Source organism: Homo sapiens, chromosome 2 (genome assembly GCF_000001405.40).
Source record: "Homo sapiens chromosome 2, GRCh38.p14 Primary Assembly".
Taxonomy (NCBI): Eukaryota; Metazoa; Chordata; class Mammalia; order Primates; family Hominidae; genus Homo; species Homo sapiens.
This window is the reverse complement of record NC_000002.12, coordinates 149,207,479-149,223,679: the sequence shown is the minus strand read 5'-3', so window position 1 is coordinate 149,223,679 and position 16,201 is coordinate 149,207,479. Positions and strand designations below refer to the sequence as shown.

General features: G+C 40.3%; 1 protein-coding gene across 30 annotated transcripts in view; it reads right to left on the bottom strand.

Annotated features, from left to right (window-relative positions):
- The window catches only part of LYPD6B (LY6/PLAUR domain containing 6B), a 176,564-nt gene continuing 168,780 nt past the window's right edge, over window positions 8,418-16,201 (bottom strand). For 29 of the 30 annotated variants that reach the window (XM_047443412.1, XM_017003366.2, XM_047443404.1 and 26 more), the window contains 3 exons: window positions 15,268-15,366; window positions 10,558-10,688; window positions 8,418-9,134 (listed from right to left, as the gene is read on the bottom strand). In XM_047443412.1, the coding sequence (XP_047299368.1) occupies window positions 8,970-9,134; window positions 10,558-10,688; window positions 15,268-15,366 (395 nt within the window). In that variant the 3' untranslated portion in view covers window positions 8,418-8,969. The remainder of the gene's footprint in view (window positions 9,135-10,557; window positions 10,689-15,267; window positions 15,367-16,201) is intronic. The other variant, NM_001317004.1, reaches the window with a different exon arrangement.

Below are 16,201 nucleotides of genomic sequence, written 5' to 3'. Positions count from 1 at the left end.
ATGAATTTACTTTTAACTGTCAAGTGCAATAGAACTGTTACCCATCAACATCTTGAGAAGCAGGCAAAAGAAGGATAATTAAACCCAGCCTTTCAAATAAGCATCGTTGCAAAGGTTACAAGACACTGCAGAGTTGCCAAACTTGGTGAAATCAATTTCCATTTTGTTGCAGTATGTGTCATGCAGAGATTGCTGAAACCAACAAAATGAAAAGCATTAATAATTGGTATTAATAGCTTGTACAAATTAATGTGCTTATTTGCCTAAAAAAATTAGCCAAACAATTCATTAAATGGAAGCCTTGCACATTATATAGTATGAAGCATAGACTTCCTATTGCTTTTGAAAATGAGGCATTTGAAGATGAGGAAATCTAAGCAGTTGATGAAAACTAAATGGAAATCTCATTGTCAAGAAAATGAAGTCAATTTAATGGAGTGTGGAAGGGGCATCTTAGTGACATCAAAACCACAGAATATATAAAAGGTAGTGAATAAAATATAACCAATTTAAAATGAAATGGAAATAATTTAAGTTTGTAGTTGTTTTGCAGCACTTGCTGACTACCAGATACTTAAAATAGTCATTACTTGATCCTCCTGCAATGCCTAGGAGGGAGATGGAGAATAAATAATAAGTACAAATGGGAAATCAAATGCTGATGAGTTAAGTACTTTGTGAAAAAATATTTCATGGATTCAATTCAAACAGATATTTATTTTGGGGCAAAGCCATGGTTTGCCTGTTGGCTTAGTACAGAAACCAGTGCTGGGCATGGTGGGAGGTGGTAGGAAGAGGGAGCTAAAGACCCTCTGTGCCCAGTTTTTTGTTTATAGTCATATCTCATCATATGCCCAAGCCATGTTCACTTCTTCAAGGACTGAGTTACAGGATTTGATGACTGTTAGACTCTAGGCTTCTTTCTCTGTTCTTCCTGTTCTTCTGCCTGTTCATCTTTATTAAGGATTCCACAGAGTTTGGTTTCTAACTGCTAACTACAAAGGATGAATATGTCAAAAGTTGGCTAAAATTACAGAGTCTTAGAAATGTATCATAAAAAGGCAGAACTTCAGTTACATGGGGCAAAACTGGGAGCGGGAAGAACCTGCCTCTCAAATGGGATAATACATGAGATTGCAAAACCATTTCCTATTCACATCTTATAAATTACTCACCTTCACACCTATTGACCTACACAACACCATCCACCCTTCCTCCATTCAAGAAAAACACAAGTAGTAAGCTACTCTCATTCAACTACTTGATCCCAAACACCTACTCTGAACCAAGCATCTAGCACGTTAGGGCATCAGTCATTCAAACCCTAGCTACTTATAAACTCTCAGAACAGAGCTGCAAGAGCCAAAGCTTGCTCCCTAAGGGTAAACTACTGGGCCAGGCTTGACCCCTAGATTTAAGGCACTGCTGAACCCTAGCAGAGATCTCAAGAGAGCAGGCATTGCCAAGCCCCTCCGTCCGTGTGGTTTTCTTTCTCATCTGTGCAAATCTCCGATTACACTTCCCCTCAAGGCACTGCGGGCTTCGCTGAGTAAAAGAATTAAATGCTTATTAGGATTCTGCACGTGCGCCCTGGGAACTGCATCCCACATACCACAGTGCTGTCCTTGCATCGTTAGCACAAACACTTACCCACATCTGACAAGGGACATCAAACCACTTCAGGTAATTGCATTTCCAGAGCAGCTGATAATGAAACCGGGAAGATTAGCCTTATCCCTTGCCTCACTCAAAAAGTAGATAAAATCTAGCATTTTTGCTTTTTTTTTCCTTCAATAATCCGTCAAAGTTTTGCCTTAAACTATTTGACTGTTTTCTCTCTAATCATGAGCTTTAAGTTTTTAACCATGTTCATTTGTTTGCAATATCTGCTTCATTATCTTATTTAATCATGGATTATCTTTCCACTTAGTTAAACTCACTTTTCATTTTGAAACTTTACATTAAAAAGAAAAATACGGAAGTCATGTCGAATTATTCCACTAATCTATTCTATCAGTCAAATAATAGTTCCTTGCCCTTACACACTTAAAAATGAGACATTATTACAATTATAATAAAAAATCTTTCCCTTGTCTTTCTTCAATTCCTGAATTCTTAAAGCCAGGAAAGTAGAAAAGTGCCAGATCCTAAATACTGCTGAAAAAAACATCCTCCAAAATCAATGTTTGACATTCAATTTAGGATTAATTGTAAGAAAAACTACCACCAAAACAAATGCGGGTGTACTCGTCTGTTTTCACACTGCTAAAAAGAAATATCCGAGACTGGGTAATTTATAAAGGAAAGAAGTTTAGCTGGCTCACAGTTTGGCATGCCTGGGGAGGCCTCAGAAAACTTACAATCGTGGTGGAAGGGGAAGCAGGCATCTTCTTCTCAAGACAGCAGGAGAGCAAAGAGCAGGGGAAACTGCCGCTTTTAAAGCTATCAGATCTCGTGAGAACTCACTCGGTATCATGAGAACAGCGAAAACCACCCTCACAATCCAGTCACCTCCCTCCCTCGACACCTGGGGATTACAGGTCCCTCCCCCCACAAGTGGGGATTACAATTCGAGACGAGATTTGGGTGGGGACACAGAGCCAAACCAAATCATATCAGTGAGTTTACCTATGTTAGTTAAAATACTGCATTATTCCTTATTTTACATTTCCACTTAATTATATATTCATTTCCTTTGTTGGATAAGATATAAAAGGACTTTCCTTGAGGATCTGTCCAGATCTCTGACAAAAAGGCATTCTCTCAGTCCATGAATGAATTAATTTTGGTTTAAATTTATTAGTTACAATGAGGATAAATCTTAATATTCAGGACTCATCTCTGACTCAAGATTGATTGCATAGTAAATCTAGTAATATACAGAAATAACAAATGACTGACAACTTCAGAGAATTCTTCAGAAGACATACTCAAAGAGAAGAAACAAGAACATACCATCTTCAGGAACCATTGACTTCTTGATTGACTTACAGTTGAGCCCTACGGAGTGGTGGGCATGAGTTGGATTAATATCCATTCTAGACACTGAACAGTGAACAAACATAAGGACAAAACCAAAGAAAAAGTATTTGAAGCTTCCCCTTTTTAAGGCAGTTTTTACATTTTCTGCTTCTGCTCACCTGAGGATGATGGCAACAGGTCTGTACAGGTAGGAGCCTATGATCTTGGAGAAGTGAGTGTTTCTGAATGTTTAAGGTTTATTCATTCAGCATGCATTTATTAAGTACCTAGGATATACCATGTGTTTTAGGAGTCAATGTCTTACCCACCCCCATGTTTTGCAGGTTTCCCCTCATACCTCTCTACATTTGTAAGGTTGTGTACACAAAAGTGTATTCTGTGGAAACCAGATGTTTGGTGAAGCAATGTTCCTCTCATGGAATAGTTTGGGAAGTGCTGCATGCTCTTGCAGATTTACAATGTACATTAATCACAAGAGAGCACAATGGGAATTACAGTAGTCACGGGAGCTTCTCTGTCTGTGTCTGCTTCTTGCTAGCTGTGTGCTTCAGGCAAGTCCATGCAGCTCTCAAAGACAAAGGCCCCCTCTCTTATCTCTGACATGATAGCATTGCCTCAGCCATCTTAACAATGGCCTCCACACAGCCTCACATTGTGGGAATCTGTAGCAGACAGTTCTGGCTGCTTATCTAGATGCATTTCTTTCTGCCTCCTTTCTCGTGCCTGCTTTGTTCAGATATCTAGCCTCCACCGTGCACCACACATGCCTCAGGGACACTGAGCTTCCTTTGGCTGAAGTAAGCCAAGGGTGACCACAGCTTTCTGGCTTGTGATTTGCTGGAAAGCTGGGTAAAGGCCTTTAGACCTTTTCTTGGAGAGCTTCCAGAAGCATCCCCCTGCCTGTTTCCCTGGACACTGGGTAGGCAGTATGGCCCTGCTATAGCCATCTAGTTACCAAAGGATATGAGGCAAGGGAGAACCAATAGAACAGCACAGGATGGGGCTGGAACCACTGGACTAAGTCCACCTTGAAGCCCTCTCTCTCTGAACCTCCAGTAATGTAAGCCAAGAAATTCATTTATGCCAATTTGGGACTCTGTTATTTGTAGTTGAAGTTATCTGATGGCTACAGCCCTCTAAAAGAGATGCCCTCCCTGACTGAGGATCCTCACAAATCTAATCAGAGTTTATCTTCAAGACTTGCTTGCCCTGTGTTGCCTGTCCTCTTTTGGAAAATATTTGCATTGGAACTGATTTTGAGTCTGCACTTAGGCCCTGTGGATGGGCTCACCTTGCCCATTGCTTTGCATGGCTTCTTACTGCCGCACTCAGCTATGATGCCCAGGGATTCAAGTCAGTGCTCAGAGCCCTTGACATCCTGCTTGCCTGGAAGGGGACCCAGAATCCCTTCCTGGAGCTCCCATTTGTCCTAGGCAATTCAGGGCCATTCTCAACGTGGCAGCTCTGCCAATCCACAATGTCCTCCACGTGCTCCCAGACCCTTAGCTGGAACCAATTTTCCTGAACTAAAAAAGTCCTTGTGTGGTGGCTTAGGAGACTGTGAGCTCTCAACACAGAGCTCTGCAGCCTTATGTTGAGGGCCTGGGTTATTTTTTTCTAAAAAATGATGCCCTAAGACTACCAGGGTGAGAATCATCAATATCAGAATCAGATGCTTGTTAAAAATGAAGATTCTCAGACCTGCTAAATAGTACTTCCGGCATTGAGCTGCAGAAGCCCTATTTTTCACAGCCCCAACCAGAATGATCTCAACTCTGGATCACCCTAAAGACAGCTCAGCTTCCAGTCTCAGCATCTGATGAAATAGAAGCCAAGGCAAGGAGTGAGGGGGGCTGGGCAGGAGACAGAATTGTGAAGATGAGAGGGGAGTGGGAAGAGTAACAGAAAGATGCTGCACTGTTTCAGATACACAGTAGAGAAACTGTGACTAAAGGTGGACTCAAATCACAACTGTTTTTCAGTTTCTTGGACTTTCACCTTTGCCCATTTGTTAGCCTTTGTCTTCTGGCATGATCTGCACCCAGACACAATCAGTATCACCATGTAACCCTCTACAAATCCTATAGTTGACAACACATAATGATGCAATAAAATAAAATAGAATAAAATGTCCAAGATCCAAAGGTCATAGCAAACTTTGTAACTGGTGAGCTACATATCACAAGTTTCACCTAGGGATGATTTCACGAATGTAAAACATAGTTTCCCGATTTCATGCCACACCTCATCTCCCATGTCCATGCGTGTCCTCATTGTTCATTTCATGCTTTGCATGGCTTCATAAGTTCCTTTCCAGTGAGAAAGAGAAACCAACCCACCTTCATTTTCTTCCTTTTTCTTATGAAATATATTTTACCCAGTGATTGACATGACAGAATGCAGATTGTATAGAAAGTAATGCCGATAATTTCTGACTGCTTTCACTCAGAATTGAATTTAGGGAGCATTTACACGTGGGTGGGGAAAGGTGTTAGGTAACTTTTTTTTTCAAGGAATGATTGATGGATGGAATTCAAAGTTTATTCTAGAATGTAGATCTATTCAAAGTGGACCTTTGACAGGCCATTCCCTCAGATCTTGCTCATATTCATAGCTAATCCCCTTGTCTCTTTTATACTAACAAATCTACATGTTCCCCGTCTTTCCTCACTCCACTACTGTGATTCTCATTGGACATTTTGACACCAAAGTATTTCTCATTTTCTTACTCACTAGGGGCAAATTAAATTAATCTGAGGCCTGGGATGCTTGGCCATCCCAGGTCCCTATGCAATGGACTTTAAATATCTATGCAGTGGACTCTAATGATTGAATTTATTTTTTGCATTCTAGTTTTTAAATTACATTGAAGATACCACAGAGTTAACTTAAAGTACATAGGGCTTTCAGATTAGAACTCAAAGGTCAGGTTTTGGAGTCTGGGCCTTCTGATCACCAACATCATTTCCATCTTTTATTATTTCCTTTGGTGGCACCCAAAGTGGCTGTGCTTCAGAATCATTTGAGGAATTTTTTTTAAACTACACATTTTTTGACTCAACGCAGAGAATCTAACTTTGAAGTTGGGGCCCAGGTTCATTTTTTTCTTTCTTTTTTTTTTTTTTTTTACAATATCCCCCAAGCAATCATGCAGATACCAGGGACACATTTACTGAAGACTTTTAGGGAGCACTTCTATCTGGTCCAGGGGTTCTTAAACTTTCACATGCATCAGAAGCACCTGGAGACCTTGTTAAATCACCGGTTGAACCTGCAGAGTTTCTGATTTAATAGGTCTGAGATGGAGTCTGAGATTTGCATTTCTAACAAGTTTCCAGGTGACGCTGTGGGGCCACACTTTTAGAGCTATGCCTGTAACCGTGGTTGCTTGTGTATGTGTTTATTACTTATTAGCATACCTATTATGTGGCCAAGGAGCAGGCTTCAGAAGAAGGAATGATCCTCTCACATCAGAGGTAACACCTGGATAAGCATTATCATCACCCGAGAGCTTTTGTTTGTTTAAATTTAACTTTCAGCTATTGGGGTAGGCTTGAGCTTCACCTCAGAGCTACTGAATCAACATCTCCAGAATGTCCTGGGAACTTGTTTTGTTTTGGAGTTACTCAGAAGATTCAGATTTATTACAAGGATTTGAAACCATTTCCTTAGACAAGCCCATCTTGTGAGTTCATGAATAACTTACACAAAAAATTATTTGATTTTATCTGAAATTCAAATTTGGTGGGGAATCCCATATTTTTATTCATAATCCCCTGTTCACTCAGCTGCCTTTACCAGAAGTTTGTTTCCTTTGCACTCCCTCCTTTGCTCAACATACCCCGATTTTAAATGCTTAAGGGAATGGAGGTGAGACGTGAAATCCATATGAACTTGATGTTCAGGGTGAAGAAGAGAAAATTAAGATATTTCCTCAGGAAAGAAAAAAACACACACAAAAGAAACTTCATTAATCTATACAGCAGAAACAAAATCAGAGAAAAAAAAGTGCTGTCTGCTAATGGTTTTTTACCAGACAATTTGTCAATTACACAGTCAAAAGAAACCCTGGGGAATAAAAAGATGCCAAAGATGCCATTAAAATTTCCAAGTGAAGCCATATATAATTATTTTCAAACAAGTATAAGCTATGAAAATGCAAATACTTCAAGATGCTGAGTGAAAGATAGGATAAATCTACATTAGGCTTCAAAACTGATGCTACCAAGTGAGTCTAAGTTTGGGCCAGAGACAGGGAGATAATGATGTCTGCCCCCTCCCTGTTTGATAGGACGCTAAGGAGCCTTAAGATGAAATGCTCCCAGTGTGTCAAGGATGAGAAGAAACATAAATACAGCTCAGCCCCTGACATCAGTACATAACTACAAGATGGAATCAAATACATGAAACAATCAAAACAGAAGACAAATTCACTGACTCAGAAGACAAAGAAAACAAGGGAAGTGATTTGGCCAACCATTGCTCAGGCTGAGTAACCACCATTAGCAACATGGTGCCTGCAAAGAAAGTGGCTTTCTCCTTAAGCAGTCTTGACATCCCATAGGTTAGGGGTCAGCAAATTTTTCCTGAAAAGGGCAAGATAGTAAAGCTTTTAGACTTTGCAGACTATGCAGTCTCTGCTGCATCTCTGCAACCCTGCCATTATAGCACAAAAGGAGACACACACAATACATAAACAAGTGGCCATGGCTGTGTTTTAATAAAAACTTATTCACAAAAATGGGTGGTGGAATGTATTTGGCCTGTGGGCCATAATTTGCCAACTCATGTCATAGGTGAGCCCATATGGCAAGGATAGCATCATTAATACCTAGAGCCTACAAGGGCACCCAGCATTCTAATGATGGATATTTAATTGGGGGGAAAAACCCATTCCATTAGCTCATCACTATAAATACAAGGGCAGAGAGTTTAAAAGTCATCCCAAAGTGTGACTGAAGGCAGGAAATCAGAATTCTAGAAACAGGAAGAAGATGCTCATTTGAAATTCAGAGATTGCACTGTAAGTGGAAAGAGAAGAGAATGGGACCAAACATTTAGCATGTATTTACAGAAGTTCTCTTGGTAGACATGGCATGCATAGAGAATATGACTGAAGGAGGAAAATGGACCCCCCCTTGCCACTTTCTGTGACTAGAACTTTTGAAGCTACTACTGCTGAGGGTGCATCATATGACAAGGTGTCATCTTCCTTTATCAGGGAGGCTTCCCAGATATTCTCAATTCACTAAGTTTGTATTAACATCCTAAAATGCATCTCTCCCCCAAAAGAAAAAAGCTAAATAGCTTCAGCATCAAATTTTATAGTTTAACACATATCACCAACGGTTCATGGACACAAATGTCTATTTTATGACCCTGGTAACTGTTTCACCAGAGGTCTCCACATCAGTCAAGAAACACACAAGCATGCATTTACATTGTATAATTTAAAAGCTTTATTTCCCCCCATAATTTGCAAATAGATTTCATATTAGTTCCACTGGAAGTTTTCTTCGTACAGTTGCCTTTCTCATTGACTATGCTGTTGGTGGGGAAAACTGCTTTCTCATGAGGGGAAGGGTTAGATTTCATAGAGATGCTCTGAGCTAATCACATAAACAAGAGGGTTTGACCTGGCAGCCTCTGAGGCAGTCAAGGAGGTCAAGAAATCCTTTCAGCTAAAGGCCTAGTCAGGTGGGACTAGTTGCCAGGATCCTCTCTGCAGAACTGCCCAAACGTAGCTCTCTTTGACCAGGAAGCCTGGAAGTCAGACCATCTTCTCAGGCCCTGCCAAATTCCCATCCTCAGTCCTGTGGCCTCATGCGGGAACATTTTATCCAAGCAAACCACTGGCTTTCGCCTTGAGGTCCAATGTGCACTCTTCACCAAGTGCAAGATTGATCTTCACTCCAAAGTTCACCGTTCACACAGTTTTTGGCTTGTGCTTTAGAGGCTGGTCTCTGCCTCTCCTAGGAATGGTGGCATCACAGCAATGGAAGCACAAAGACCCAGGCAAGCACTGGTAGGTAGAGTGTGGGGGCACTGCTGCCAGATGTTCTCTGAGCGTGCATTACGGCAAACACTGCATTAGTGTGATTGGTGGGTAATTCTACATTGCAGATCATTCCTTCACAGCAAGACCTACACTCCTGTTACAAAAAAGGAGAGAGGAAATGACAGTGAATAATAGAAGAGGGAAGGGGCAAAAGAAAGAAAGATAAAACAAAGGCTTCTTGAGCTCTATCTGAAGACAGACAATTGGAGTTGGTTATCCAATTTTGCATCATCTAGGCTCTTGGGTACCCTTCCCCCACCAATGCCAATAGAATGGAAGGGAAAAACCATGCTGAAAGTCTTTTATCCTAACTGTGATTTATCTGCATCAAATCCAAGCATTAGCAAGGCAAAGAGGAAGAGAAACTGCATAAGAGTGCTTGATTGAGTCCACAAATCTTCTAAAGGTTTGTAAGGGAAAACACTCAGACAAAAATGAAAGCTAGGAACCTTTCGGATTAGTCATTGATTTTCTTTCTCAGTGCTACTTGTTAGGGGATAATAATGACTCTCTATTGTCTATGCTAACACCTGATTCTTATCATTACAGCAACAATGGTTTACTAATTATGGTTGCTGAGTGGTGTAAGAAAAAATAAAGGCTTGTCCCTAACTGGTGTTTTCAGGGGATGTTTTCAGGTAATACCAAACCGTGCCAGGTACAATGTCTCAACCTGATAAACCCAGCCATTCATAGAGGCTTCCAGGATGACTAGGTATGATAAAGGCATCAACTCTAGGCATCCATATCAGTGGTTCTCAACCCTGGCTGCACATCAGAATCACCTCGGGGAACTTTTTAAAAAGATCCTGACACCCAGGACCTTACCCTGAGGTTCCATTTCAACTGGTCTGGAGAGCCTGCCGGCCTGCATCCCTCAACAACAAGCAGAGCTTGTAAAAGCTACCCAGGTGATTCTTGTGTAGCTAGAGTTAAAAGCCACTGATATGAGAATCATTTTCTGTACTTATTACAGGGTAAATCAAATTCTAAAACCTCATGAAATGAACATATTTTCAAGTAATTCTTTCTTAAGCATTTCAGAATTCCAGGCATATAAAGGAGTGAAATGCTCATTTAGAATGATAGAATGAGAACGTTAAAGCCATCAATTGATCTAAAAGGTATCTACAGTTCATCATATTAAACTGAGGCTAATCCTTCAGACTCCCTTCCTCATCTAAGCAGAAGCAGTGAATAAGACAAGGGTTCCTTCATTTCTTTGGTCTCCATTTTATGTTTGTACGGAGTCTCTGTTCTTTGGTCTCCATTTTATCTTTGTATGGAGTCTGTTCTTTGGTCTCCATTTTATCTTTGTATGGAGTCTCTGTTCTTTGGTCTCCATTTTACCTTTGTATGGAGTCTGTTCTTTGGTCTCCATTTTATCTTTGTATGGAGTCTTTCCTCAAAATGTAAACATGGTCCACATATTACTATCCTTCCTGCCTCTCCTTTGATCTACGACTTACATTACTAGGATGAAAGTTTAGACAATAACACACACACACGATCCTTACCGTATGTTCAGAATCTCGGCTGTGGTGGCAACCGACAAAATGACATTCACTTCTGGAGGCACACTTTTTGGTGATGGATGTGCTTCTTCCGTGGCTGGTGAAGTGATGAACTGTCAAACAGTACTGTGTATCTAGGCAAGAGGAAACAAAAAACAAAACCAAGAAACAAGGTAATTTCAATATCCATATTACAAAAGAGATCTCTTAACAATTAATGCAGAAAGGACTCAAATTCAGGCCAGTCCTGGGGTTTTTAGGCAAGACATTTCATAGCAGTGAACTCTGAAGTTTCTAGGTGATATTTTTCAAAGGACACCAGCTTCTGAAGAACATATGTGTTTTGAAAATGAACGTAAATGGGCGCTCATCCTGTGGTTTCAGTTAGAGCTGAGGAAAAACTGCAAGCATTTTATCAAAACATGGGTCTGCTCATTTGATATGAAAATATTTATGTCTCTGGCCCTCTCTCTCCCTCTGAAGCACGTTCTCGAAATCTAAAATAAAATGAAAATTGTGATGGTAAAACGCAATGGGTCAGAACAGTTGTTTCATTATACAGTTGTTTCATTACTCATCATTTTTCTCTTGTATACTAATAGGCCATGTGGTGAGCTGGGGTGAAAAGCAGGTGCTTCGAATTATACATCACAATCACCTTTTTCACTCATTTATTAAATTGTAAAACCCGCAATTCATTTTGCACCAACCTAATAATTTCTTTTTTTTTTTTTTTTTTTTTTTTGAGACGGAGTCTTACTCTGTCCCCAGGCTGGAGTGCAGTGGCGTGATCTCGGCTCACTGCAAGCCCTGCCTCCCGGGTTCACACCATTCTCCTTCCTCAACCTCCTGAGTAGCTGGGACTACAGGCACCCGCCACCACGCCTGGCTAATTTTTTTTTTTTGATTTTTAGTAGAGACGGGGTTTGACCATGTTAGCCAGGATGACCTCGATCTCCTGACCTCATGATCCGCCCGCCTCGGCCTCCCAAAGTGCTGGGATTACAGGCGTGAGCCACCGCGCCCGGCTGCACCAACCTAATAATTTCTATTCTGGTTCTAATCCTACCAACATGTTAGACTTTTCTCATCCATGTATTTCCATTTTTTTTCCTCCTCTTTTACTTTCTCTGTTTCCCACCCACCACCTCCTGCTTATCTACAGTACCTCATTTCTACCCAGCTATCTACAGTACCTCATTTCTACCCAGAATTATCCTTAAGGTTTTAACCACTCACATTTTATTACTTAGGGTTCTTTGAAGAAGTTTCATTCAATATCCTAGGACATTATTCTTTGGTTCTGTGTCTCTTTTATACCAGAGGCCAATGAAATGCTTCTTAGTTTACTGATCAGAGACTACAACAGCAATGTCATAGAATGGGAAAAAAATTGGACTAAAGCTGAGAAGACTGGGCTTATGGAACTGCCTTTGTCATAGGTGAGCAAGTCATGGTAGATCTTCTGAGCTCATTTTTTTTTTTTTGGTTTTAGTAAAATGATAGATAATAAGTGTCTTGATGCTTTGATAGGGTTGTGATAAGCTTTACATAATACAAACAGTAGCAAACCCATACTGAGTGTGCACTATCAGCCAGGTACTCCTATAACTTGTGTTCAAGCATTCAATCTTCACCATAAGCCTTAAGGTAAGTCATATTAAGGTAAGCCTCATTTTACTGGTAAACTGAGGACAATTTCTTGCCCATGGTCACAGAGAAAGAAAATGGTGAAAAGTAGGATTCTAACCCAGTAGTTTTCCTAGGGCTTGCACTCTTAACCAGAACATTATTCTACTCCTCAGTATACTTAATATTAAACCACGTGGCAATTGATATGGTTTGAGTCTGTGTCTCACCCAAATCTCATATCAAACTGTGAGCCCCCATGTTGGAGAGGGGAGGTGATTAAATCATGGGGGTGGATCCTTCATGAATGGTTTAGTGCCATCCCCTTAGTGCTGTTCTTGTGATAGTGAGTTCTCATGAGATCTGCTTGTCTAAAACTGTGTAGCACCTCCCCCCTCTCTTTCTTGCTCCTGCAACCACCATGTGAGATGCCTCATTCCCTCTTTGCCTTCTGCCATGATTGTAAGTTTCCTGAGCCCTCCCCAGAAGCCAAGAAGACGCCAGCATCATGCTTCCTGAACAGCCTATGGAACCGTAAGCCAATTAAATCTCTTTTCTTTATAAATGACCCAGTCTCAGGTGTTTCTTTATAGCAATGCAAGAACGGACTAATACAGTGATATAATGTAGAGTGTCCTACAAGAGTAGCTGACTTCCAGATTCAAAAGGAAAGGGAGCCGCTAAAAGTTCTGGAGAAAACATTTCAATTTCCACTCTAAACAAAGAAGAATCGAAAACTGGTGGCTGCATGTGTTCATACAGAACGGGACACATGCTAAGGCAGCCCTAAAAAGTCAGCATAAAAGCCGGGGTAAATAAAACAAGAAATGTCATTCTTGTCATATCCTGTTACACAGAAGACTTCTTTTAACAACACCAACAGACCACAGAAGTGAAGCTGTAAAGTAAAAAGGAAATCTGAGATGACAAAGAACAATAGCCGTAGGCCTATTTGCCCCGAGAAATGGTTGACTATCACTCCCTGAAATGACAAAGTGAAAAGTAAGAAGTTACACCCTCAATTAGAATTCCAGGTGGTTAGTATCTTTGGGACCTGCCTGGCCTATAGTAAGAATGTCCTATCATGCCATGCTGGAATGCAGGGCCATTCCGTATTGAGCCCATTAAGAGTCAGCCTCTCAGGTGGACTTGGCAGAGCAGACTCTCTTCCACCCTTCCCATCTCTGATGTTTTCTTGGTGGTGGAAAGCTGCAGCTTCTCCTTTGGTTCAGCCATGTTTCAACAGAGAAGAAATCCTAAAGCCCAGAAACAGCCATGCATCTTCTTTGCCTGCATGCTAAGATGGCTTTGGTCAACTAATGACAAGTTGGAGCATTATGTACAGACCTAGAAGGAGCAGTGTTTTGGTACAATTCAAAACAATAGCATGAGCCATGAAGATAAGGCCTACCAGGTTGGACATCAGTGCCGCAGTTTACTACTGTTCTAACCCTTGCTGCCCAGCTTTCAAGGCAACTTAAAGCAAATTGTTAAAGGATGATACTCTCTGAAATAAATTAGTAAAGAGAAGCATCAACAAACCTTGAAAACTTTGAAATAACAAAGATAAATTTCTGTTGAAAATGTAGAAATAAATCCCCAAATACATACAATCATGCATGCACATACACTCATAAGCGCACACACAACTTAAGGATGATCCCTTGACAGAAATGTAAAAGAACCTCAAGAAAAACATATTTTGTTAATTAATTATTCTTGAAAATAAATAACAAAAAACACTGTCCACATGGATGCCACGGCCATTTGTGCTAATTTATGGCATACGATTCTCAGGCATAGTAGAGGTCTCCAATGTATTTATTGGATTAGTATTTATTGGCTCCACACATTGGCTGTAACTGGAAGAGGTAAAGCTATGCCACTGCTATAAATAATGTGGTACTGGAATTTCCAAAAGATTCCGGGTAACAGTAGACCAAAACTAGTTATCTCTAATTCTGTAAGAGTTTTTTTTTCTTGGCCTCTTATATCTGAAAAACCTAAAAAACAGTACATCCTAAAATCTGAACAACCCGATCTCCTAAGTAGGGTTTTAACATTTCAATTCATCCATCAGCACATTCTGTCTGCTTTACTTCCAAGTTCATATGCATTCAATCATTCACCTCCCCACCTCCTCTGCTCCTACCAACCTAGTCCAAATTCTCATCTTCTGTCTGAAGATGAGAGTCCTCATTTGGCGTTCCCTCCTACTCTTGTCCCCAACCCTCCATTCTCCACACAGCAGCCAGAGCAATATTTTGGAACACAACTGCTATGTATTCCCTAGCTTAAAACTCCCTACCGCCTTCTCACCACCTTTACAATAAAATCCAAATTATTAGAAAAAAGAAGCTCCTGCATATCCTGGCCCTTGCTTCCCTCTCGGATCCTTCCTCCATCTCCCACTAAGCCTCTGCAGCCAGTCTCCTTCCTGTTCATTGAAGAGGCCAAGCCAACTATCACCCTTGAAAACTCTGCATTTGCGATTCCCTCTTTCCAGTATGTTCTTCCCACAGATCTCCACGTGGCAGCTTGCTATGGTCACTCAGGTCGTAGTTCTAAGGTACAGTTCTCAGAGAAGATTTCCCTGACTATCTAATCAGAGGCTTCCATTCATTCTGTCAGCAAATATTTACTGAGTAAACATGGGCCAGGCACTGGATTAGGCACTGGGATATATCTGTAAACTAAACAAACTAAAAAGATACTTGGAAGTTTGTTAAATGAATGAATGAGTTTCCCAAATATCAATGTATCTCAAGAGTATAGAAATCATCCTTTGTTGAGATGGTAAGTATGACTTTTCTAGAGGTATAATCAAGTATTTCTGAAATTCTGAGAATGACTTAATATTGTGGTCTATGTGTTCTCCCTGGTAAATAACATTTAAGAAATTCTTCCTTAAGGTACTCAACTTCAGTTAGAGTCTTTGACACCAGTTTCCAAGAACTCTCAATATAGTCTGATGTCCGGATAGTCTCAGAAAAAAATACATCTGATTCCTAAAGAACATCATCAAGTCAGGAGAGATTCAAATGAAATGAGATCACAGAAGTCTTCCAAACTCAGCACACTTACTTTGTGGACACCATTTGTCTTCTGCCCATCGATTGCAGTTATAATTATCCCCTGCGTTTTCACAAGTAAAGCACTTGAAGCTATTTGGAAATGGTGTAGCTTTAAAGAAAAAAGCAAAGTGAAACAGTAAGCTACAGAAGACAAAAATTTCGAACATCAAACATGGTACAAAATGAGCAACTTTAACAGATGAAACAAAACTTATAAGCTTTCATCCTTACAATTACTGTTTCTAGAGAGCTAGATTTACTCATCAGGCTTTTGGGGAATTTTCTTTATTCCCTTTTGTTTAAATATGTCTTCTAAGAATTGCCACTATAGAGTGATGAAAGTGGTCCCACAGCTACTTTGAAAGATGCATAGTATTGTTCTATTATCATTTATAATTTGGGAATAAGTAGGGGTTGAGGGGGTAGATGAGGGCAGTAGAGGTATTGGAACACACGTGTCATCCCTGAAAAGAACTGGAGTCAGATTAACCTGAGTTTGAATTCTGTTCTCCCCACAGATTAGTTGTGTGATTTTTTAAAATTCTAAGATATAATAATATTTATATTAATAATGAAGATCCCCATGACTTGCAGAGGTATAATGAGGATTAAATGGGAAGTTGCAAGAAAATACCTTGTAGTCTCTAGCACGTCAAATCATGCTGGTTTCTGTCCATATGCACTTCCAGTACAGCTACATTTAACCTCAAACATGTAATCTCATCTGATATATGTCAATTATCACAACATTAGACCTTGGCCAGGAATATAACATTTAATATGAGGATGATAGTAATTCTTAAGCCCTTATAATTAGGCCAGTTTGTTATGGAAAGAAGAATTTCTGAGTTGCTGGTAGTCTGGACTGAGAGCAACTTGTCTTTATGCCTTTTTTTTTTCTTTTGGCCTTGTATCTTGTAATTTTAGCGGACAAGAAGAAAAAA